A 24,822-nucleotide genomic window follows, 5' to 3' on the forward strand; every position below is an offset into this window, starting at 1 on the left:
CGCAGAGGGGGATTTGGCAGGGTCACAGGACAATAGTGGAGGGAAGGTCAGCAGATAAACAAGTGAACAAAGGTCTCTGCTTTTCCTAGGCAGAGGACCCTGCGGCCTTCCGCAGTGTTTGTGTCCCTGGGTACTTGAGATTAGGGAGTGGTGATGACTCTTAACGAGCATGCTGCCTTCAAGCATCTGTTTAACAAAGCACATCTTGCACCACCCTTAATCCATTCAACCCTGAGTGGACACAGCACATGTCTCAGAGAGCACAGGGTTGGGGGTAAGGTCACAGATCAACAGGATCCCAAGGCAGAATTTTTCTTAGTACAGAACAAAATGAAAAGTCTCCCATGTCTACTTCTTTCTACACAGACGCGGCAACCATCCGATTTCTCAATCTTTTCCCCACCTTTCCCCTCTTTCTATTCCACAAAACCGCCATTGTCATCATGGCCCGTTCTCAATGAGCTGTTGGGTACACCTCCCAGACGGGGTGGTGGCCGGGCAGAGGGGCTCCTCACTTCCCAGTAGGGGCGACCGGGCAGAGGCGCCCCTCACCTCCCGGATGGCGCGGCTGGCCGGGCGGGGGGCTGACCCCCCACCTCCCTCCCGGACGGGGCAGCTGGCCGGGCGGGGGACTGACCCCCCCACCTCCCTCCCGGACGGGGCGGCTGGCCGGGCAGAGGGGCTCCTCACTTCCCAGTAGGGGCGGCCAGGCAGAGGCGCCCCTCAGCTACCGGACCGGGTGGCTGGCCGGGCGGGGGGCTGACCCCCCCACCTCCCTCCTGGACGGGGCGGCTGGCCGGGCGGGGGGCTGACCCCCCACCTCCCTCCCGGACGGGGCGTCTCGCCTGGCGGGGGGCTGACCCCCCCACCTCCCTCCCGGACTGAGCGGCTGGCCAGGCGGGGGGCTGACTCCCCCACCTCCCTCCCGGACGGGGCGGCTGGCCGGGCGGGGGGCTGACCCCCCCACCTCCCTCCCGGACGGGGCGGCTGGCCGGGCAGAGGGGCTCCTCACTTCCCAGTAGGGGCGGCCGGGCAGAGGCGCCCCTCACCTCCCGGACGGGGTGGCTGGCCGGGAGGGGGCTGACCCCCCCACCTCCCTTCCGGATGGGGTGGCTGCCGGGCGGAGACGCTCCTCACTTCCCAGACGGGGTGGCAGCCAGGCGGAGGGGTTCCTCACTTCTCAGATGGGGCGGCCGGGCAGAGACGCTCCTCACCTCCCAGACGGGGCGGCGGGGCAGAGGCGCTCCCCACATCTCAGACGATGGGCGGCCGGGCAGAGACGCTCCTCACTTCCTAGATGGGATGGTGGCCGGGAAGAGGCGCTCCTCACTTCCTAGGTGGGATGGCGGCCGGGCAGAGACGCTCCTCATTTTCCAGACTGGGCAGCCAGGCAGAGGGGCTCCTCACATCCCAGACGATGGGCGGCCAGGCAGAGACGCACCTCACTTCCCAGACGGGGTAGCGGCCGGGCAGAGGCTGCAATCTCGGCACTTTGGGGGGCCAAGGCAGGCGGCTGGGAGGTGGAGGTTGTAGCCAGCCGAGATCACGCCACTGCACTCCAGCCTGGGCACCATTGAGCACTGAGTTAACGAGACTCCGTCTGCAATCCCGGCACCTCGGGAGGCCGAGGCTGGCGGATCACTCGCGGTTAGGAGCTGGAGACCAGCCCGGCCAACACAGCGAAACTCCGTCTCCACCAAAAAAATACGAAAACCCGTCAGGCGTGGCGGCGCGCGCCTGCAATGGCAGGCACTGGGCAGGCTGAGGCAGGAGAATCAGGCAGGGAGGTTGCAGTGAGCCGAGATGGCAGCAGCACAGTCCAGAGGGAGACTGTGGAAAGGGGAGAGGGAGAGGGAGGAGAGGGAGAGGGGGAGGGGGAGGGGGAGGGGGAGGGGGAGGGGGAGGGGGAGGGGGAGAGGGAGAGGGAGAGGAGAGGGAGAGGTCTAATTTACAAATACAAATTCTTATGAGAAAAATTTTAATTACTGAGGATGTTTGGTTTGAAAAGAAGATTAGTTACTACCAGTATTAGTACTATTGCTACTATCACCTCTGCTATTAGTGTTACTATAAATATTGGAAGCTAAAATGAACCAAGTGTTCATCACAGAGAAGTCATAGTATTAAGTTCCCTATACGCTATCTCATTTATTTCTCACAATAGTCCTGTGCTGAATGCCATAATTATTTGCATTATTATGAGAGTTAGGTGTGCCTGAAAGAAGCAAGGTAACGTCACCAAGATCAGAGCTACTAAAGAAAGAGCAATTATCAAGATTCAGATCTTTTTGACTACAAGGCCTGGGATTTCAATCACTAGAAATAAAGGTGTATGAGAAGTGGATGGCCCAGTTATTACATAAACCCACAGAAAATGAAAATGAAGAGGCTTAAATGAAAGTGGACACACCATGACTGGAAATACTATAGGACTTAATTTTAAGAACAAGCAATAACGTAACAGGCGTTTGAAGAATAGGCAGGACCCCATCCTGAAAACCTTACCCTGGAACACTTTCAGGTGTGACAGCCATCCTGGCTAGACAGTCCTAGCCTGGCTGGAATAGATGGTTACTGAAGATCTTGCCCAACCCTAGCCTTCTAGGACTTACACATCGTGTATCTCCTAGGACGGACCACAGTTTTACCTAACCTTCCAGTTTTCTCCCTCTTGTTTTTCTCCATTCTGCCTTCCCAGTATTTGCAGCTTTCCTCCTTTTTTTTTTTTTTTTTTCCAACTATACATGCAGTGGCTGTTTCTCTGGATCCAGATGCAGCTCATCCCAACCTCATCCGATCTGAGGGTAGAAGATACACTTCTTCAACGGAGAATGTTCCCCGAACTGGGATGCCCCCACACACCAAGGACAAGGGGAATCCAAAACCATCTTCAGTGTTCTGGGTTTACCACAGGGGAGACATTACTTTACCACAGGGGAGACAGACATTACTGGGAGGTAGAAGTAAATAATGGGGACAGAAGTTGGACCAGGAACGAGATGAGCTCTGGGTGTTTGTTCAGCACAATGAAGAGAGAGTGGTGGTTTGTAGAAAGTCCAGAGAAGAATTTCTGCATGGTGACATGTGAAGAAGGAAGGGTCATGGCTCTCACTTCCTGCCCAGAGACTCTGTCAGGAGCCTCCCTGTCCCCCTAGAAGGTTTCCAGGACAGCAAGGCTGGAGACGTGTCTTTTCACAACGAGGTCGATTAGTCCCACATCTATTCTCTTACTGGAATCACCTTCTGTGGGATTTTCCATCCTTATTCTAGCCTTCAGAGTGCTGGCACATCTGTGACCTTCTGCTTAGATCATCATGAAAATTGTCCTGATTCTTTTCCAGTTACCCCTGTAACTTCTTTAACGAGTTGTGATAGAGATGTTGCCCAGGAAGCTAATGTTCTATTAGCATAATAAGCAGCGAAGTGTTGGCACCTCTGCTGTCTCCACTGGAGCATCTTCTAGGTACATTCACCAGGAAAGCTGTCCTTGGATGGTGAGTAGGTCAGTTTCACTAGGTGTGATTTCACTTTCTGTCAAAGAGGAAGAGGCAGAAAGTGAAGTGAGAGAACTGGAAAATGTCCAGGGAGATTTCCTCCGGTGCTGCTATTGGGGAAATACAGTCTCTTTGTGGGCAGCAACTATTTCTCACAAGAAAACTCCAAACAAGTTCATGGATTTCTCATCTGTTTTCATGCTGAGTGTGTGTTGAAGTATATAATTTTAAAGCTACATTTACAGGGAAATCTCTTCTTACTATTTTTGTTATCAAATATGGAGGAGGGGAGGCGTTTGAAGGGAAGTATTGCAGTAGAGTGAATTCTCACTTCCATTACCACTGTTGGAGATGCATAGGAATCTGTCCAAGTCCTTTAATAGCTCAGCGTGTTTGCTCTTCAGGCTCTAGTGTACAATCAACTGCTAATCTTGGACTTTGACAAGGGACGGAGAAGGCTCATGAATAATTGTAAATAATTGGAGGAGGAGCCCAAGCCTTCTGGAAGGAAAGAGCCCTTTTCTTTAATAAGTTCTCACTGGTCAGCAAGTCCAGAATTGTGTCCTATGTGAGAATGTGAATGAAAGAGGAGTCAATGTTGCAGTTTATACTTTAGGAGAGAAAGCAGTAAAGTAGAAATAAAGAAACATCTGTACCAAGAGTCATTGCTAACATTAACATTCTTTTTCTTCCTGACCTGTTCTGCCCACTGTTGAGGGTTTCCCTTGTCCTTGCTGCATGTAAGACTTCTCCAGCTGTTTATCATCAAGTTGTCTTCAAGGATATAGAATATGAGCTTCTCCTGCTTTTTGTTTGTTTGTGTATTTTTGTTTGTTTGTTTGTTTTTTCTTTGACGGAGTCTCGCTCTGTCACCAGGCTGGAGTGCTGTGGCACCATCTCTGCTCACTGTAACCTGCACCTCCCAGGTTCAAGCGATTCTCCTGCCTCAGCCTCCTGAGTAGCTGGGACTATAGGCATGTACCACCACGCCCAGCTAATTTTTGTATTTTTTTTAATACTTTAAGTTCTAGGGTACATGTGCACAACGTGCAGGTTTGTTACACATGTATACATGTGCCATGTTGGTTTGCTGCACCCATCAACTCATCATTTAAATTAGGTATTTCTCCTAATGCTATCCCTCCCCGCTCCTCCCACCCCACGACAGACCCTGGTGTGTGATGTTCCCCGCCCTGTGTCCAGGTGTTCTCATTGTTCAATTCCCACGCAGCCATAAAAAAGGATGAGTTCATATCCTTTGTAGGGACATGGATGAACCTGGAAACCACAATTTTTGTATTTTTAGTATAAGAGAGAGGGTTTCACCGTGTTGGCCCAGATGGTCTCCATCTCTTTACCTTGTGATCCACCCGCCTTGTCCTCAGAAAGTGTTGGGATTACAGGCGTGAGCCACCGCACCTGGCCGAGCTTCTTCTGTTAAATGAACCCTTTCTTCCTGATGATGGAAGAGATCCCCTTAGTTTTTCTTCTACAGTATTTGCAGATCTGTAAACCACAAGTGCCTCTAACAATCTGTCCTGTAGATGTATCTCCTTGGTGAAATTTCACGTCACACACTAAGTGGCAAAGACAGTATTCGAAGCCAGGAAGAATCAAGCCAGAGCCTAGTCCTAATTTCACTGACCCTAAAGGGAGGCTTACATATTTCATCAAGAAATAATCAAGGCAGGACAGAGGTAAATAAATGGTGATAAAATATTAATAGTTATAATCAAATGGACATGGTGGATGAGAAGGGATTTCTGGACATGCGAGCCCTAAACATGGGGGTAACAACAAAACAGGAACAAATGGGGTGGAACTGTGGTATAGAACACGAAATGTAACAGGTTCAGCCTTAGACATTTTACTTTTTTATACACTTAGGACATTCAGCATGAGGTTCAAGAGGAGTTTTTACTATCTCTTTTTCAGAGTCTAAATTCATATTTTTTCTACAACAAGATTCTTAAACTTGTCACTTCTTTACTCATTTTAATGGGTGTTTGTCCTTCTAAGCTTAGAGATTGGGGAGCAGTGGCTGCAGGTGGACATGGTAGAAAACGTGAAGGTGGATGGTTGATTGGACTCAGAGCTTTAGACCTGTCAGGGATAACAGTGTCCATCTTATTTTCATTTGTAGCTTTGAGTAAATCAATAAGTAGTGCAGGGTCTCCAAGTAGCCTATCCTTTCTGGAAAAGTGAATTCACCACCTGGCTACATCAATTAATTCTTTATTGCTGGACTACTCTGGCACTCCCATTTTTAGTAAAGTTTATGAAGGTATAATAAGACATTCCAAAAACAGAGTGACTCCACTGCAAAAAAGAAAGACCTGAGGGCAGGAATTATGTCTTATTAAGGATTGTATCTCTAGGCCTTAGCATAGTACATTCAACAGGTAAGATATTCAATAAATATCACTTTATGAGACAATTCATGCATTTTACAAATGTTTATTGATAATCAATGTATGTCATTTTTACAGGTTGTGGGGCTAGACAAGAAGGAAAAAAATCACTGTCCTCATGGAAGTTAAATTGTACTGACAAAGGAGGAAAATGTCAGGGAGTTAACAATTCAGTCTCTGTGGCTTCCTCCTGTCCTCTCCCTGAAACTGAGATCCAGCCAATCTGCACATTTATTCTGAGAGTGGCCCCACTTTAATGACTACACCCAGCTGTCTACACACCAGGAGGGGAGGGAACTGTATCCTGAGGCACCAACCCGATTACCCACCCAACAGCCACAGGGACTTCCAGTGACTGGGGCATCATCCTCAATGCCACCAACCCCTCTCCTTCCTGTGGCTTTTCTAACTGGAACTGGAACTCAGAAAGTACATTAATCACCAATTTGGGAAGCTATAGGAAAGTATGTTTTCTAATATACAGTGAGAGAATGTGACTGATAAAACCAATTTTCTTGAGACTTTCTCCCTGGAAAGTGAATATATGTATTCATAGGGCCTTCACAAGCACAGACTAACAAGCAAAGAGCTACATTCACTGGGAAGGAAGACTCAAAAGTAAGTGAAAAATAATAGTTAACCTTTAGATGTTGTGCAATAAATTATTTTTAATTACATTAAATCAAAATAGTGTTAAAATATTTTCAGGTAAACCTAGTATATTTACTAATAAATTTAAGTCTTCATAAATATAAAGATAGATCAATGTAAATGTAAAAATCATTTGTTAAACTCCAGAGATTATATAAACAAAAGGTGAACCTAATGTAAAACTGTGGACTTTAGTTGAAAATAATGTGTCACTATTCTTTCATGGGTTGTAACAAATGTGCCACACTAATGTAAGATGTTAATAATAGCAGAAATAGGGGGGAGAGAGGAGGGATCTAGGAGCTCTCTGGATTTTCCATTTTATTTTGTTATAAATCTAAAACTGTTCTTAAAAATAATGTCTGTTAATTTTTTTTTTAAAAAGGAAAGAAGCACTGATACATGCTATGACATGGAAGAACTCTAAAAATATTAGGCTAAGGGAAAGAAGCCACATACACATACACATACACAGATAGTTTATGGTTCCATTTATATAAAATATTCAGAATAGAAAAGTTCATAGGGACAGAAAGTAGATTACCTGGGGAGTAGGGGGTGAAAAATGGGTAGTAACTGCTTAATGGGTATGAAGTTTCGTTTAGGGCGATGAAAATATTCTGGAACTAGAAAGTGATGATGATGGTCACACAGCAATGTCACATATACAATACCACAGAACTGTACACTTTAAAATGGTTAAAGGGTTTTATTTTATGTTATGTATTTTACCACAATTGAAAAAAATGTTTATTAAAATTAATGTGTAAACATTTGTGGAAGAATAATGTGTAGTTTCTAACATTTATGTGTTTAAATTTATGAGTTTAAAAATAGAAAAAAAAATGATGGCCCAGAAGAGCAAGTTCAGAGTGCTGTTCATGAGTGATCCGCATGGGACCGCGATGCCTCTGACGTCTGCCATCCTGGAGAGCAGCAGAGCGTCACTAGCAGGTCCTCGTCTTCTCACTTCATAACATTCTTTCCAAAAGTCTTGTTGACATTCTTCTGTCTTCCACATATAGTTTATCTTCTTGAACTCATTATAACTTTAAAATATTTTTACTGTGTTACATGTACTGCTTATATTTGTTTATTTTATAATTATTAATTTTAAATTGTGCACTTTATTTTGCTCTAACAATAAAATTGACATGTTCGTATAGATGATACATAATTTTTCGCTTGGATCGGAAAGTGTAAAATTTTTTTCCTGACTCAATTTCCTGTATCAACTTTCTCAAAAAGTCTGGAGGAGGGATTTTACAACACTTCATAAGATTTTCAAGATTATATTTTAGTGATCAGATTTTTCTCCCCCTTATGCAGCTGTATTTTCTTTCACTTTTTTTTAACTGTATATATATATTTTTTATTTTCTCAGTTCCACCTATGTGGACAATTAATTGTCACCATCTTAAATAAACTGATCAGGCCAGGTGTGGTGGCTCATGCCTGTAATTCCAGCACTTTGGGAGGCCGAGGCGAGTGGATCATTTGAGGCCAGAAGTTTGAGACCAGCCTGGCCAACAAAGTGAAACCCCATCTCTACTAAAAATACAAAAATAGGCTGGGCATGGTGGCACATGCCTGTAATCCCAGCTACTCATGAGACTGAGGCAAGAGAATTGCTTGAACCCGGGAGGCAGAGGTTGCAGTCAGCTGAGATCATGCCACTGCACTCCAGCCTGGGTGACAGAGTGAGACTTTGTCTCAGAAAAAAAAAAAAAAAAAAAAAAAGAAAAGAAAAAAAAAAAAAAAAAGAAACTGACCAAATCCTTGATTATTCCTTTCATTTCTTCCTGTAGGCTAAATTGTATTTCCCATGGGATTTTCTAAGGGTCCTTGATTATCAGATGTCAGATTGTGATTGATAGGCCGGATCTCAGAGAACCTGGAACAGGATAGGTCTCTGAAAAGATCAGTCTCCAGCAGATTTTCCTGAGTAGAATTAAAACACCTTGAGTTAGTACTTCAATGATCATGGCAGCCCCCTTCAAGCAGTTAGAGAAATGAGAAATGATCAGGACTCAGAATATCATTCTGGTTTCCAGAATCCCAGATTGTTATTTTCCTGATACGTTGGAGATGTTCTTGTGGGTACAGAAAAAATGTCCAGAGAACCTACATTAGGGAACCAAAGAATGAAGCGGGGTGCAGAGTCCCAGAGAAGGAAGTTTTGGGGAAGGTGTAGATAGGGCACTTGCCAATCATGTTATAAGAGGAGAGGTATTCAGAGGCACGGTCAGGGGGATTCTGACTTGTTCAGGGGCCACCTTCAAGGGGATGGGGCTTGGAAGAGAGGGGATGGCCCAGAACTCATTTCTTTTGCAATCCATTGCCTAAAACTCACTGTCAGGTGACACAGAGATGACTCTTTCTTTGCAACATGTGCTTGGCAACCTCCGGGACCCATCGCGCCCTGTTCCCAGTCTCCACCTCTCAGTACCAGCTCCCTGACAGGAGTTCCCTCTGGCCCATAGAGCAGATAGTCAGATCTCTGTGGGATATCTGGCTGCCTGAATGTCCATGGATCACACGCTTGTTCTGTTCAGAAGAAATCAGTCTCAGGTGAGCTGTGTTTGAAGCCAATGTCACATTCACTGTAAAGAAAGAGAATCCATTCTGATAATTAATCAATATAATTTCATTCTATTAACAGCCAAACAGGAAGACAAGTGTTTCACGGACATAAGAAATTTAAAGTGGAAGCACTTTCTAGAGCACACAAAACAGCCTCCCTAACACATGAGAAGTCACCAGCAACACAGAAATCACCAACAAGTAGGTCACCACATTTTTAAAGATCATAGGAAATTGTTCACGCCAACAAATCTCAGTGAACCTCAGCTCTCAGCCTTGAAAACAAGGATGGCTGTACTACTCACTTTTTTCTTCTTCTTCCCTAACCAGATCACTGGGGAATGGGCAGCAGGAAATCAAATCATTATCTTTTAATCATTTTGCTTCTATTACAAGTGGAAACACTGACCTCATGCATCACTGAGCCTGGATTGCATGATAAGCCCTGGGCTTTCCTGTTTCTCATGTTTCCTTAGTTACTGGATATTCACTGACTGCCTCCCATAGGTGACTTGTGAAAAGGGAGGCTCGGGGAAGTACGCAGTACGGTTCCCACTGCAGTGTGCTCCGCTGTTTCTGTTTCCCTGACTTACCTCTTTTCAGCTCCTCTTCCTGGGCAGGCCTACAGCCACAGCAAGAAGCAATCCCCAAACAAGCAGTGTTTTCCACAAAAACGTCATCCTGGACTCTAAAATGGAAACCCAAGAATCCCTTGAAACTGTGAAACTGGGACAATATTAAGATTGTACTTTTCATCTGAGCAGCTTCTAGGCTGGAGAGAAGGGAGAGAATTTGGCCTCCCAGGAAGCAGTTGGCCTGCTCCTCCCTGCTCTGGAGATGCAGAGGAGAGAATGCAAGTATTTCATGTTTGCTCGTCTCAGAAATGTACACATGCACAGACAAGTTTTCCCTTCTCTCTTCCAACTATATCACACAATCACTGGAATGACTTGAGGAGGAAAGGATAAAATTACTCAAGCCGCAACCATGAAGATGGTATTAATAAAAATCAGTTTCTAATCCAGAAGAAAATCCTCCATGAGGGGGAAAACACAAAGTTCTGTAATTTAATTGTTTTCACATCAGAAGAAGAGAATTTAAAGAGAGAGAGTGAAAACAGGGTCAATTACGAGAATTTAGTGTGTATCCAATGATAAAAATAATTGCAGGGCGCTAGTTGAGGGTGTCAGAGAGAAACTCAGAGGAGTAGAATCCCTGGGTGTCCTGAAAACCAGCTTTGCAGAGGATAGCAGGAGACCTCGTCAGAGATCAGCAAATAAAAATCACAAAGGAAGAAGAGCAATACAATGAGTAAGTCTGAGTTGGTCTTCATATTTATTTTCCAAACCTGAAGGAACATAAGGAATCACCAACCTGAGAGAGAAAAAGTTGCGATTTTCTCCTCGCCCAAAAAGGGGATGCTGATGGAACAAGTGACGTCCACAGCGGAGATGTTTGTGACCCTTAGCAATGTCTGCACGTGGAACAGCCCGTGGCTGCCTTGAGTCAGGGCCTGGGAAGATGATGGTATCGTCTTTCCTTCCATGTCCCTCCATGGCACGTGGGGCTGTGGGAACCACCCATCTGAAGAGCACATCGGCTGCATTTCTCCATCTTCTTGCCCCTCCACAGTGATCAGTGGGGAAGAACCCAGACCTGGGGCAGAGAAAGCAACCAAAGCCTGGGGTCCTTTCAAGTGGATGAGTGGGCAGCAATTTCACTGGGAGGAAAGAAGGGGATGTGGAGGGCTTGGGGAAGGGAGAAAAGCTTAAGGGGGATTGCACTCCACTTAGGGATGAGGCTGGCTGGAGCATTTTCTTATTTTGTTTGTTTGCTTATTTTTATTCTTTGTATTCCTAAATCATTCTGGGATGATTAAGAGGTAAGGTAAATGTTCAAATCCAACATTTATTCTGTCCCTGAGAACAAAATAACTTCGGCCAGGGCATGGGTCACATGGACAGGATTAACATACGGAGTAGGAGGATATTCTCAAAAATCGAAACCTTATAAATATCTACGTCCAATGGCAGAAAATACGAGGCTCATGAAACTTCTCAACATGCGCTCCCATGGCTAAACGTGTTTATTAATTTAGAATCAAAATCCGTGGGAGAAACACGTAGCATATCCAAGACTTGGGCCTATATGTACTCAATGGCATCTGCTAACCTTGGACGTTTCAATTCTCACACACACGGACAGTGGGAAATGATGCTGCAGGGAGTGATTTCATCTTTTCTCCCCTGTCCCTGCCAAAACTGTCAATATTTATAATTTTGGTTTACACAGTGGATCCAGTTTAGTCTTCAGATGATTACAGTTTCTAGAATTTTATTGCATTTCTCAGAATTCTAATAACACACTGTGAAACAATGAGCCTTTTGTAAAATATGTAGTAAGATACTCAGATTTCCTTAAAGATATGGTCAATTTTTGAAGATACTGGAAAAGATACAAGTTATATGCCCAAATAATTAAATTTCATCCATTTGAGTTTGTGGATTTTAAGTAACTATGACAGTTTCACACACTGGAGGATTTGATATAAATTTGATGATGAATAAGCATTAAGAAAATTTCAAATGTCAGAGAAATTGTCCAGGAACTAGCATATTAAAGTGGCAGGAGCAGGTATTGAATACAAAATATCTATCTAGAATTCTTACTTACCACCTTCAGATCCAAACTGGCCTCCTGGTAGACATCATCTTTTTCAAAAAGGCAGCGGTACTGCCCGTCGTCCGAAGGTCTGGCACTGAGTATCTGCAGGGTCAGTCTGCCCTCGTCAATGGCGTCACTCACCAGTACAGTCCTCCCTCTGTACTCTGCCATCTGCTCTCCAGCCACATGGTCCCCATCCATATACACATGCACAGCAGGGTAACGGTGGGATCGGTCCCACCTCACCTCCATGCTCTGTGCATTCGCCTTGGGGGACAGGTAACAGGTTAGCTGTATATCTTCTCCCACTCTGACGAGGATGGGCTGGGAAGGTCCATTCACTTTTAAAGAAGCTGTTAAATAGAGTGGACAAAACACAATGAAAGAATCAAAATGGAACCAATAATGTCATCTCTAAGAACAGCTCCATTGGAGTTTAGAAACCATGAGCATCCCAGGGTTGCTGTGAGGCTCAGGGTCATCCTTAGGTGAGGTGGGGGTTTCATGGACTCAGAATAGAGGTTGCTCTTCTTTAAGGAGGAATCATTCCATGATGTGTGTCAGTCTGAGTAAAACAGTAATTGAATCCCTACCTGCTTCTACCTGTATTTTTTTCAGTTTACAGACCAATAATAAAATAATTTTGCAATTAAAACTCCCAGATAGGCTGGGTGTGGTGGCTCAAGTCTATAATCCCAGCACTTTGGGAGGCCGAAGCGGGTGGATCACCAGAGGTCAGGAGTTCAAGACCAGCCTGGCCAACATGGTGAAACCCCGTCTCTACAGAAATACAAAAATTAGTCGGGCATGATGGTGGGTGCCTGTAATCCCAGCTACTCAGGAGGCTGAGGTGGAAAAATTGCTCGAACCCGGGAGGCAGAGGTTGCAGTGAGCTGAGATCATGCCACTGCACTCCAGGCTGGGTGACAAAGCGAGACTTTAAAAACAAACAAACAAAAAACACCCAGAATAAAGTGAACAGTTTATAAATTTGGCCCCAGATGCCTCTGTACCTGACTCCTTATGTAACAAACTGCAATTTAACTTAGTACGTCAACTACTGAAAGCCTAACTTAGGTTGCAGTTTGTTACATAAGCACTCAGGTACAGAGGCATCCTGGGGCCAAATTTATAAATTGCTCATTTTATTCTGAGAGTTTTAATTGCAAAATTATTTTATGAATAAGCCTAACTTAGGAGCTAAGGCTAACTTAGGAGTACACTTTTGTAATAAATAGCTGAGTAGCAGCTGCTGCACTTCTGTTAGTTGCAGGCAGCCAACTGTTGAAACCCTGTTCAAATCGGCAAACGCCAGGCTGCAACCAATAGAGCTGTCTCTGTACCTCACTTCTGTTTTCTGTACCTCATTTCCATTTTCTGTCCATAAATGCTGTCTGACCAAATTGCTGCTTTGAATTCTCTGAAACCGTTCTGATTCTGAGGGATGGCTTGTTTATGAGTCATCCTTTTCTCAGTTAGACTCTGCTAAATTTAGTCTGTCTAAAGTTTTTCTTCTAACACTTCAATTCTGTATGATTTTAAACTACTTCTTAATCTGTCTTAAACTACTTCTTAATGCCTCAGTTTCTTAAACTGTAAATTTGCTATACAACTACCAAAATCATAATGTTTCAGAGTTGAACAAAATAGTTTGCATTAAGTGCCTGGAAGACCCTGCAGCGTGAGCAGAGGTGCACAGACCTGTGAGACTTGAAGGCGTTGGAGCCATCCCCACCCTCTGACGTGGTAATAGGGAGGGGTTTAAAAACATGTCTCATGTGGACTTTTGGTAATGATATTTGAAGAAGCTTTCCTCTAGGTGGACTTTATAGTACCTTGTAAGTCTGGTCCAGCCGCTATATTTTATTTCCCCAATGCTCCACATAGGTGGAGTTATAGACACACACCAGTTGAATGTCCTCAAATAATTTTGAAAATTAAAATTAACATTTTAAGATCAATAATTGGGGAAGTCGGCAAAGTACAAATTGTGAAACAATGATGAATGTAAAAAAGGGGTCTAATTCTCTCACTGTGCAAAGTGGGGAAAGATGTTCTCTGAGGGCTTTCCTGGGCCCAAGCTATATTACATTTTCCATTCTCATCAGGCCCTGCCCGTGCCATTTTTTCTCTATTCTAAATTAAGTGTCGTCCTTTTCTGTTAAATGATAAGAATGGTTTTGCATAAGGTGTGATCATTTATAATAGAAACACAAGCATAAAATTGTTGGTTCTCTGCATAGAGTCACTGGCCAAAGGCGTTAACATCCCATTATGTCATTGGCCGAAAACTGCCAGCTACCTTTGTAGAGAGGAAAGTCCCTGTCAACACAATTTGAATTTTCAGATTATTACCTTCCATTCCAGGTAACAGTTGACTCCCAGTTATTTCCAGCATTTTGTTTGCTTTGTCCTGTAATTTTACCTAAAACAATATTATTTTCCTCTCCTATGTATCTATTAAAGTCTGAAGACAAGAATCAGAAAAAATGGACTAGGGATTAGTTTGGGGCTGTTTCTGCATCCACATGGCTTACGGTAAATTACTTAATAAAACAGACTGTTTCCTCATCTCCTTTATCCATATGAGGATTTTATTCCCTGTCCGTGTGTGACCTGTGCACATATTAGATCTTAAACTGGCTTGCCCTGCCTGACATAGGTAATTAAGAGCTAAAATTGACTTCAATGGAGACTGAAGGAAGCAAAATGTAAGTATGGAGATTCAATTAATTTGATGCATTACAGATACAGACAAAACTCCTTTTGTCCAGAATCCAAGTAAAACTAAAGTTTAAAGTGCTAAAAAAATCATGCAGCCCTGTTTGTTAATAATTGATGTTCTACTAGAATACAAGCTCCTTGGGAGCCACTATGCCTAACCCACTTTTTTTTTCTTTCAATTTTAAGTTCCGGGGTACATGTGCAGGATGTGCAGGTTTGTTACATAGGTAAACATGTGCCATGGTGGCTTACTGCACAGGTCATCCCATCACCCAGGTGTTAAGCCCAGCATCCATTAGCTGTTCTTCCTGATGCTCTCCCTCCCCCATCCCCCAACAGGTGTCCAGTGTGTGTTGTTCCCTGCCATGCATCCATGTGTTCTCACCAATCAGCTCCCCCTTATAAGTGTGAACATGCAGTAGTTAACCTCCTTTTTCTATACGGTTTTGTACACAGCCTTCCAGACAATTTTGTGCTGAAATGTATTGCTTTGTTTTGTTTTGGTTATTGTTTGTATGTTCTGAATGCCTTCTGAATATCCACTGAAAAATTAATTCCCTTCTGGAGCGTGAAGTACACTGAATTATACACTGATTCCTTGAAACCTGATAATCTCATCATCATACCACATAATCCTCTTTCAATCAGCATATTCAATTAATGCACTATCTCATTTCTCAAATATGCTAAGTTATATCTAATCTCTTAGAACTGGACACTACATTAGAGATTAAATTCAACCTGTTCACTTTAAAGATGAGAAAAATAGAGATGAATGAGCTGACAAAGTCACACATAAGTAATTAAGGACTTGCACTGTTAAGTTAGATAGATGTAGATTAGAAGGTAAACATCACCATTTCTTCCTGATTTTTGGCAAACCATGTATGTCTCTAAGATTGTTTCTTAGCTGTAATATGAGGATAAAGCAATTAAACTTTATAATTATTGTAAGAAAAAATGAAATAATTCCCATAACATATTCAGCATCGTGCCTGGCATACAATTAATATTTTTAAAAACTATTATTTTTATAAATGAAAAACATTATTTGTAAGACTACAAGCAGTGATTTCAGTCTTAGGACTTCCATAGAGAGCTGGGTGTCCCATCATTAGAGCTCACCTGCAAAGCTTCCGTGCCCAGAGCCCTCCTCTCCCACCTGACAGGAAGCAAAGGGAAGCTCCATCTTTCCGTGTTGGTTAATTGTGGCCCCGGAGGTTACCATGACTTAGGAACAACAGGACATGGGGTCGTATTGTGTGTGCTGGGTCTCCAGTGGGTCTCAGAGAACTCAGAGGAGTGACTCTTCTCCTAAAACCTTCTTGAGAGACAGACTTGTGTCAACCTGCCCCAAACACTGGCTTTACTTCCTGATCTCAGAAGGGTAAGATACACAGGTGTGTGTCTCTCCTCAGATTGTGGAGTTACTTTGCGCCTTCCAGGGACCCTTCCCTTTATGTTTATGGCCTAATGGGGTTGAAGGTGCCATAGTAGACTCTGGTAGAGATTGGGTTGTGTTTGTTACCCTGATTTTCCTCAAAAACTCTTTTGTGGGCTGAAAGGTGTGCTTAAGCTCACCTAAAGCACACACATGGATACACATTCCTGGAGCAGGTGACTTGATGGAGAGCAAGGAATTGATGGAAAGAGCACATAAGGGATCCACGTTCTATGCACCTAGGCAGGGAGGCAGGCTGGTTGCCTTGGGCTGGGAGAAGAGGCCATAAAAAGGAGGGAGCTAGTAAGGAGGTAAAGGGGAAACTCAAAGGGGCTCAGCCATCGGCTGGTTATGTTTTAAACCACTTATCTCAGGTGCAGCAAAATAATACCCTCAGTCCAACTCCGAGATTTAAAAAACAAAAATTAGGCTGGGTGCAGTGGCTCATGCCTGTAATCCCAGCACCTTTGGGAGGCCAAGGCCGGCGGATCATGAGGTCAGGAGATCGAGACCATCCTGGCCAACATGGTGAAACCCCGTCTCTACTAAAAAAAAAAAAAAAAAATTAGCTGGGTGTGGTGGCGCATGCCTGTAGTCCCAGTTACTCAGGAGGCTGAAGCAGGAGAATAGCTTGAATCCAGGAGATGGAGGTTGCAGTGAGCCAAGATGGCGCCATTGCACTCCAGCTTGGGCAACAGAGCGAGACTCCGTCTCAAAAAAAAAAAAAATGCCCGGCGTGGTGGCTCACGCCTGTAATCCCAGCACTTTGGGAGGCTGAGGTGGGGGGATCACGAGATCAGGAGATCGAGACCATCCTGGCTAACACGGTGAAATCTCGTCTCTACTAAAAATACAAAAAATTAGCCGGGCGTGGTGGCGGTTGCCTGTAGTCCCAGCTACTTGGGAGGCTGAGGCAGGAGAATGGCCTGAACCTGGGAGGCGGAGCTTGCAGTGAGCCAAGATCGCGCCACTGCACTCCAGCCTGGGCGACAGAGCAAGACTCCGTCTCAAAAAAAAAAAAAAAAAAAAAAAAAAAAAAAAAAAAATTGCTACACTCACAGTATCCCAGGTTGCACTCAGAAAGTAACAGCTCCCTCCCAATAGTGATTAGCTTAGGGGTGTACTGGGGTGAGGAGCAGGTGCAGGACCCCATAGCAGAGTTGAGCAGGGAGGTGCTGGGTGCAACCCAGGTTGTCATAATGATGCTGCCCTTGTTCACACTTGAAATGTTTTCAAAGGGCCTCCAGGCCCCGGCCAGCTGTCTGCTGTCATCCCCCACACATTCTGAGGCAGCTCCCTTTCCCCTCAACACATAGAACAGAGATGATGCCATGCTTCCTATAGGTGTCCATCTGATGCTCACTGGAATCTCCATGAGCCCCCAAAGTGTCAGGTAACACAGCTGCAACCTCCTTGAATGAGGCCATTACTTTGCTGGTCTCCTCTGGTATTTAATGAACATAGGACCTGGTAAAATCGTGCCTCAGTTTTTCCTCTGGGTCACATGGTCTCGTGGTAGCTCCCCTCCCTCTGCTGGGGAGGGCAGAGGCTCCCTCCACAGGTGTGTGCCAGCACCTCGTACTTACCCAGCTCAGTCTGGAGTTTCTCTGGAAAAAGAACAAGAATAACATATTAAGGAATTTGGTGTAAGGGAAAGGAGAGAAACTATTTTTTAAAAAAGAAAGCAATTTATACATTATATAGGGAAGCTCAATTCATTAAAAAAATGAAATGCAGAAAAATACTGATTCTTTCCCACAGATTACCCAATGATACAGCTTTTTTTCCTTTTCTCTGCACAACAAAAATGCTGTCACTTCTATCTCCCCATGATTCTGTTGGTTTCTTCTGATATTTACAGCATAAATACTTAGCTATCAGCATGAAAATAACATATGTTCCTTTTATAGATACACAGAAAGTACAAAATTATATGGACATAAACAGTATCACCTAAATTACAAAGTAGAGAGACGAATTATATGTAATATACAATCAGCTTCATTTAAAATTAAAATGTAACATTAACTTTAAAGTTTTTTTAATCTATCCATTTATATGAATAACTGTATACTTATATCCAAATGTGGAGGGTATCCTGAAAGTTTTAGTGCAGTTATAAGTTATTTAAGGCCAGTAACTTTTATGTGATTGGAAATGTCAATTTATAGGTAGATGTCATGTTTATCATTGAATAGTGCATCATGAGGATTTTTTTCAACCATTAAAATTATTTAAAAATATCTTTTTATTAATGCTATAATGTATAGTAAGACAAGATTCCACACTGTACTGTTGTATTGGGGGGTTGGTTGTTTTTGCTGCTATTTATAAATAAGGCCATAATTAATATTCTATTATGCAAATAGTTGTCTACATCTCTGATTATCTTCATATGATAGATTTCTAGAAGTAATCAGCACAAGACAGCATAGGAAAACATTTCAGTTGAAGAAATATAGCTTTATTTTCTTTACAATGCAATGAATACTTGTGAGTAAAAACAATCAATGCAGAAGAAGGAAAGGTAGAACTCAAAAATAACGCAGGCGCCATAACAGCTATTCAAGTAAAATGTAGTGCGTATATTTCCAGTCATAAATGTTTTATGGCTTTCAATACATATTGCTATATGATAGATAATGTCTCTTGATAAAAATACGAGGTGCTATGGTGCAGTCCCTGGGACCTCTCCTGCTGATCTGAGCATGTGGGTCCTAGAGGCAGAGCACTGACCTGGGAGGCTGATGACCGACCCCTTCTCCTCAGTGAGGACGGGGTTGTGGACCAAGCAGGACACAGACTCTGCAGAGGCGTTCCTGACCACCAGGGTGGCTTCCGCATAGAACAGGCCATCTTTATCTTGGATGCGATGCTCAGACACGGCCAGCAGCTTCTCTCCCCGGATGTCTTCCCAATACACCTGGGGCTCTGGGAACCAGCCCCTTGCAGTGCACACAAGCTGGACTCCACTCTCCCCAGGTCCCTCCATGTGGATGCTAGGGGCAGACCCCAGACCTGCAGAGGGAAGCCACAGCTCTGACACCCAGAGCCCACAGAGGCAGAAATCACAGAGGCTGAGATCCCAGTGACGTTGCTCACAGGGAGGTGGCCGGAGTTCAGGAGTCTGAGGAGCAGAAAGTCGACCTCAGTCTCCCCATTCAAATGTGAGTTCAGATACACTTTATTTGTTCCCCAGTCTGGGTCTTTACATTTTAGCATCTGACCAGTACTTTTCTCCAGATCCAGAAAGGGGAATCGGAGAAGGGGGACATCATGACATTTTGCAACGCCTCTAGCACTGCAAACAGAGATGAGCTGTAATTTATTCATTAATTCCTCTGTGCCATGAACTCTGCCTTTTTCATCTTAAAATTATCTGTATTGGGCACATTGTCTGGTATTTTAGATGATGTCTTGAACTCCAATTTGATTGAAGATTTAACACAAAGTCAGAAATCACTCCCCAGGGGCCTGTTCTTCCTGCATCTTTTGCTGGTGGCTGTGATCTTCGGAAGCAAGTGGATAAACGGGAGCATGTGAAATGCGAATCTCCACGAGGCGTTATTTGTAGCTAAATATTCTATTCAATGGGTAAGATGGTTTTGAGAAATCCTAGTTTACAACAGTTTATGAAATCATGAATTTTTTTTCTCTATTTAACGTGAAACTCCCACACCCAAACTAAGGGGACTATATTTTCCATAAATGGGAATTCTGTCTTAATCACTTGCTGGTAAAAGAGAGATCCACTCCCTTCCCTTGGACCCTTAGAAAATGTGTGACTTATTTGTAAATGTTCCTGATATTGAAATACATCAGTACGTTCCCTGTCCCCCCATGTCAGAAATATATGTATTCCTCCATCCATTTTGAATCACCTTGAACACAGTAACAGTAATGGATGTTAAGAAAAAAAAAGGTATTAGGAAACAGCCTCCCAGGGAAGTAAAGAAGGAAGCAGTATCAGCTGGAGACGTTAACATCTCCAGAGAACTATTTTCCCCATTTGCCTTAGTAATTGGATTTACTTGATTTTCTCTTTAGAGCATGGAGAAGTTAGCCCTGTCAGGGAATCATATGATAGTTTACTTTTCATAAGACAGATCCATTCTTCAGTTGTCCCCTTCTTCCCTACTCCTTCCTGCTTAGCTAATACAACAGCAATATGAAGAACCTTCCCATTCACAGAGGGTGTGTCCAAAAGCATCTGTGAGTCCCCAATTCATTGAACACTAGTATATAACAATCTCCAAAGCACGACATTCTTAGCCTTTTCAGTCTTGTTGATAGCTTTCTAACTGAGGGCATTTCACAAGGAAAGAACATTTTCACGTCTCAGTTTCTGCATAGATGGGATTGGGTAGAGAAAAACCAATGCCCTGAGATACAGATGCCGGACGTCAGCTGGGCTCATTCATGCAGCAATTGGTTTGCTCTTGCGCACCAGCCTTAGGTAGCACAAATGTGTGTCTCAGCAAAATTGCTAAAGACTGCATGTCATGGATTCCAAATAATCCTCAAGAACAGTCAAAACTGTGCAAATTAAATTTGGGAAAATATTTTAACACTAAGCTTGAAGACTCCAGAACCACTTATTTTTAAATCAATCAGGGTAGAGGACTAAGCATTAGGAATTACCTTGATGATTCAAAAGGATTTCCTCAACTGTCACAAAGCTTACCACAAATTAATATATCTCTGCCTCTTGAGACCCTGTGTCTTTCCCCAGATATTCACCTGCTACTTTGAGCAGCAAGCTTGTTTCTCCACAGTAGTTCCCATCCTGGAAATGGCACCAGTATTGTCCATTGTCGGAGGGCTGGATGTTGTGTATCTTCAGTGCCACATTTCCCTTTGCAATGCCATTCTCTATCCACTCTACCCAGCCTCTGTACTCCTCCATCTGCATCTCAGTCACCTCCACTCCATCCCTGTGCACAAACACAGGTGTGCTGGGCTCTGAGCGGTACCACCTCACCTCCACGTGCATTGTGGTCCTCTTGGGGAGTAGCTGGCAGGTTAACAGGGCATCTTCCCCAACCCCGGCCAGGATAGGATGAGCAGGGCCAATGACTCTAAAGTCTTCTATAAAATAAGTGAAAAAGAGGAACGAGGAAATGCCAATCAGAAAATCATATGCATGCTTTGGGGTGTCCAGCCTGTCAAAATGGAGGCAACTAGAAGAGGGAGAGATATATGTTTAATGTTTTAGAGAAATCCAGCATGATGATTTGCACATCTGTTTGTTACAGAGTCAATTTTGTGTACTGAAAACAAATGCAGTTCAAAAATGTGGGTGAGGTTGCTGTCTGTCACCTACCAGCTATGTGATTCGGTGGCAAATCTATTACTCTTGGTAAGATTTTGAGATTTGAAGTCCTAATTTCTTCATCTTCAAGATATTAATACCAGCATACCTGGGTTGTTTTTATTCTCAAGTAAATTATTTATTCCTTGAGTCATTTATTCTCATGTAAATTGACTTTTTAAATTGGAAACCTTATTCTTGTTATTAACATTTTATTTTCCTGAAGTTTAGATAATAAATCCATTTATTAGCTTTTTTTAGCCTTTCAGGATTCCTCTTCTCTTAGATATAAAAACTGTTTTTTTTTTGTTTTTTTTTTGTTTGTTTTTTTCCCGTCTGGAGTTGGCAGGAGGCCAATTACTGGGACTATGTACAATGCAGTTTTCACAAGGACATTTTGTGCTGGATTAAGGACACTGGTTTGTCTAGAGATTTTTGGGTCTTCCAAACAAATTCTAAGACATGTCTGATCTCTTCCTTGTTATCTGCAAATTGAAGAGATGTTTAACAGTTATGTATGTTATTATGTTTGATCATTTTATGTCATGTATGATATGTTCTTTCTCATTCTAAATGCTCCGGGGCCATTTGCTCTTTCTCTGTGCAGATCCAATCCTGCTAGGAAGAACCTCACCCTACTTAGCTGCTGCTGGGTATCAAATAGATGCTGCTCAAAAGGTGGCTAAAGAGCCTAAGTGGAGATCTGCTTGTATTCTTCATTGATGAAGTCTAAATATGAAGCTAGAACTGAAGACATTCCATCAGATTGACTGTTACAGGGTAGGGAGCTGCAGCACAAGCACAGAGAAGCCAGCAGCTTCATCACATCACACCAGCTCTGCAGCGCCAAGGCAGACACACCAGCTCTGCGGCACCGAGGCAGACACACCAGCTCTGCGGTGCCGAGGCAGAGCCTGCGCCCTCTGATGCTCTGTGTCGTGTTTTTTCCCACTTCGCCATGCTGCATTTTCCTTAGGGCTCTGACATCTCCTTCTGACACTGATTTTTTTTTTTTGACACTGAATTTTTAAATAATTATTTTTCAAGGTGCAACATTTTGACGTCAAAATTCAGCTAGTGAGATTTCCAAAGTCCCTTTCTTCTAATTTCTTATTTCCAAGTATTTTTTTTAATTGCAGCTTAATTTATGATAAGAAGCAGCTGCATTTCTTGACCCCAAAGTACTAGAGTGAATTAATAATTTAACGTGGTGCAACCACTGATTCAAGTGCTTTTAATGTCTCATTTAATCCTAAAGCCTGTGCTGGCCTCTGAGATGTAGTTACTGCTGTTATTCTCATTAAAAAGATGAAAGAACTAAGGTATGAGGTGCTCAAGTAACTTTCCAAAGGTGACTCAGCTAGGAGTGGAGGAGCTCCTGGGAGTGGAGGAGCTCCTCAAAAGTGAGGAGTTCCTTTTTGGATACAGGTGGCTTGGCCCCAGACTTACACTCTTAGATGTTGTTCTCGACCTTTGGACCCAGACTAGCTCACTGGGACATTAGACTATACAGTAAAGGGAGAAGGGAATCCTACCTGACTGCTTCATTGTCAGCAGGATGAATAGGAAGGAGGCGACTGCACCAGACAGATTGTAGCCTGGAAAATCCACCATCCTCCCTGGAACAAAGACAAGGAAACGCTGTGCCTAAGTGAGGCTGTGACACACCCGGCACACTCCATGGCTTCCATTGGTTATGCAGTCTTAGCAGAGAATCCACATCAACCCCTGCACAGTCAGTGAAATGGGCTTGGCTCCATTTCTCTGCAATTACTGATCACATCCAACCCTTTACCTAACGTGTTATATTGTGAGACAATGTAGCAAATGTAAGAAGCCTTGCTTGCTCATTTCGGCTTGCTAGCATACTTTCACAAAGCCCCTGCTGTGATGACCTGCAGTTCTCCAGAAAGATGCTTCAAAGACAAAACAAGATTGAGCACACGGCCTCCCATCTCTCTTGCCTGAGTCACTCTACTCCTTAAAAGATAAGCAATAATAGTCCTTGCCTTTTCCTACACATAAGATAACGTCTGATTGAAGGATACCTCTGTAACCTATAACCAGATCTGCTCATACACCCAAACGTTGATGTAGTTCGGCTTCAATGTAGCTTCTGAGCTAATTTGATGTAGTGGTTAATATGTAACCTCCTGACATCGAAAAGGATATGGATTTGTTTCTGAATCATAAAGTTTTACTGATTGTTTTGTGCATGAAATATTTTAGTCTATATATTGTCATCTGTGTCCAATGATTGTAACCTCTGTATTGTACCCTCCAGTGAAAAAAGACAACTCCAATATGAAGAGCCCCTTTCTTTCTGCCTGAACTTCCTTACAAAAGCCTTCCAACTTGTAACAGACTTTGGACCACCCTCAACTTCGTTGGTGTGTCTTCCTACATCAGTCCTGACATTTGCCTTCCAATAGAACTTTATGAAATTATTCCTGCCTCAGCAACCCTAATTTCATGAGACAATATTTTAAGCAATTTTTTAGGTGTAAGGAAGTCTTGTGACTGAAATGAAAAAACACTTGAGGTAAAGGAACAATAATATTAAAAAAACCCCAAACCAAACCAAAGCAAACAAAACTCCTTAGGTTCATCTGTTGTGAGCTTGCAAAACTTATAGAGCAAGATTCAAATATTTTTTCCTGTCCTCCTCCCAACTCCTCCTGCAAAGCCTTTCTTTACCACTGTTTTCTACACATGGAGGAAAGGGCAGGAAGGCTCTGCGTCTCCACACTGCAGCCAGAAAGCCAACATTCAGTGCTAGCGCTCAGAGAACCCGGGACACAGAGATGCCGTGGAAAGTGAAAGAAAGAGTAGTAGAAAGATAGTCGGGAAAATATCTGTAAGTGGCCTTTTAGAATAGACTTAAAAACACGAATGAATTAAAAAAACAAAAAGCCCAACTGGCAGAAACTGGCAAACCCAGCAACCCCACTGTCCCAGCTGAACAAAAATACTTCACACAGCTAAAAACTTTAAAACTTACCAGGACAAGGATAGAAGGCTAGTTTTACCATTGAAAAATACAAACTTCAGAGTGAAAGAAGTCTAAGACTTATTATATGTGATGTGTCAAGTATTTTATTGAAAGAAAACTTGCTTCACACAAAGTAGAGAAACCAGCTCAGGAGCAATGTCAAGTCAATTACAGTTTCCCCCTTTCCAAGAAACTACTGCTAGTAAGATTTTATGGGACAGGGGTAAAAATCAACATTCTGAAATGGAGATTTAACAATCAAATGAGTCAGGAGATTGTTGTTACACAAATATTGCCCATTTGCTTTATAAAAAATATGTACTTTCATATAAGATATCTCTAAGGAAACTTATATGAGCCCATTCACAATACCTAGATCGAAAAGGGCAGTATGATATTTATGTGAAAATGGGGTTGGGTGTTAGAAGACAGTGCAGACCATGAGCACCTTGCCACCTGAAACTTACCAGTCACCTCCCCTTAGACTGAAGGGTGTTGCTGATGCCTCCCTGACTCCTTTTGTGAAAAGCAGGAACATTTTTTTCCACCAA

General features: G+C 43.3%; 1 protein-coding gene and 2 long non-coding RNA genes across 3 annotated transcripts in view; 2 read left to right on the forward strand and 1 right to left on the reverse strand.

Moving 5' to 3' along the window:
* The window catches only part of TSBP1-AS1 (TSBP1 and BTNL2 antisense RNA 1), a 152,558-nt gene extending 129,058 nt beyond the window's left edge, over positions 1-23,500 (forward strand). The window contains exons 3-4 of the long non-coding RNA NR_136245.1: positions 21,224-21,327; positions 21,887-23,500. This is a non-coding gene — a long non-coding RNA (TSBP1 and BTNL2 antisense RNA 1). The remainder of the gene's footprint in view (positions 1-21,223; positions 21,328-21,886) is intronic.
* On the forward strand, positions 6,280-9,461 carry HCG23 (HLA complex group 23). The gene is made up of 3 exons (NR_044996.1): positions 6,280-6,523; positions 7,383-7,510; positions 9,219-9,461. It is a non-coding gene; the product is annotated as an HLA complex group 23 (long non-coding RNA).
* Positions 9,109-22,951, reverse strand: BTNL2 (butyrophilin like 2). Its single transcript, NM_001304561.2, has 8 exons — positions 22,815-22,951; positions 20,709-21,056; positions 18,705-18,986; positions 17,555-17,575; positions 11,809-12,156; positions 10,514-10,795; positions 9,733-9,827; positions 9,109-9,159 (listed from the first exon to the last, which is right to left on the reverse strand). Exons 1-7 carry the CDS (start codon positions 22,891-22,893, stop codon positions 9,739-9,741), a joined length of 1,449 nt encoding a protein of 482 aa, NP_001291490.1. The 5' UTR covers positions 22,894-22,951; the 3' UTR covers positions 9,109-9,159; positions 9,733-9,738.

The sequence above is a fragment of the Homo sapiens genome, chromosome 6 (assembly GCF_000001405.40).
Source record: "Homo sapiens chromosome 6, GRCh38.p14 Primary Assembly".
Lineage (NCBI taxonomy): Eukaryota > Metazoa > Chordata > Mammalia > Primates > Hominidae > Homo > Homo sapiens.

Excerpts from the sequence above, each read along its gene's own strand:
- BTNL2 (NM_001304561.2), bottom strand. The coding sequence starts at position 22,893 with ATGGTGGATTTTCCAGGCTACAATCTGTCTGGTGCAGTCGCCTCCTTC. Across the intron at positions 21,057-22,814 it reads GCTGACAATGAAGCAGTCAG|AAGACTTTAGAGTCATTGGC; the intron begins GTAGGATTCCCT and ends CTTATTTTATAG. Across the intron at positions 12,157-17,554 it reads GAAACTCCAGACTGAGCTGG|CTTCTTTAAAAGTGAATGGA; the intron begins GTAAGTACGAGG and ends TCTATTTAACAG.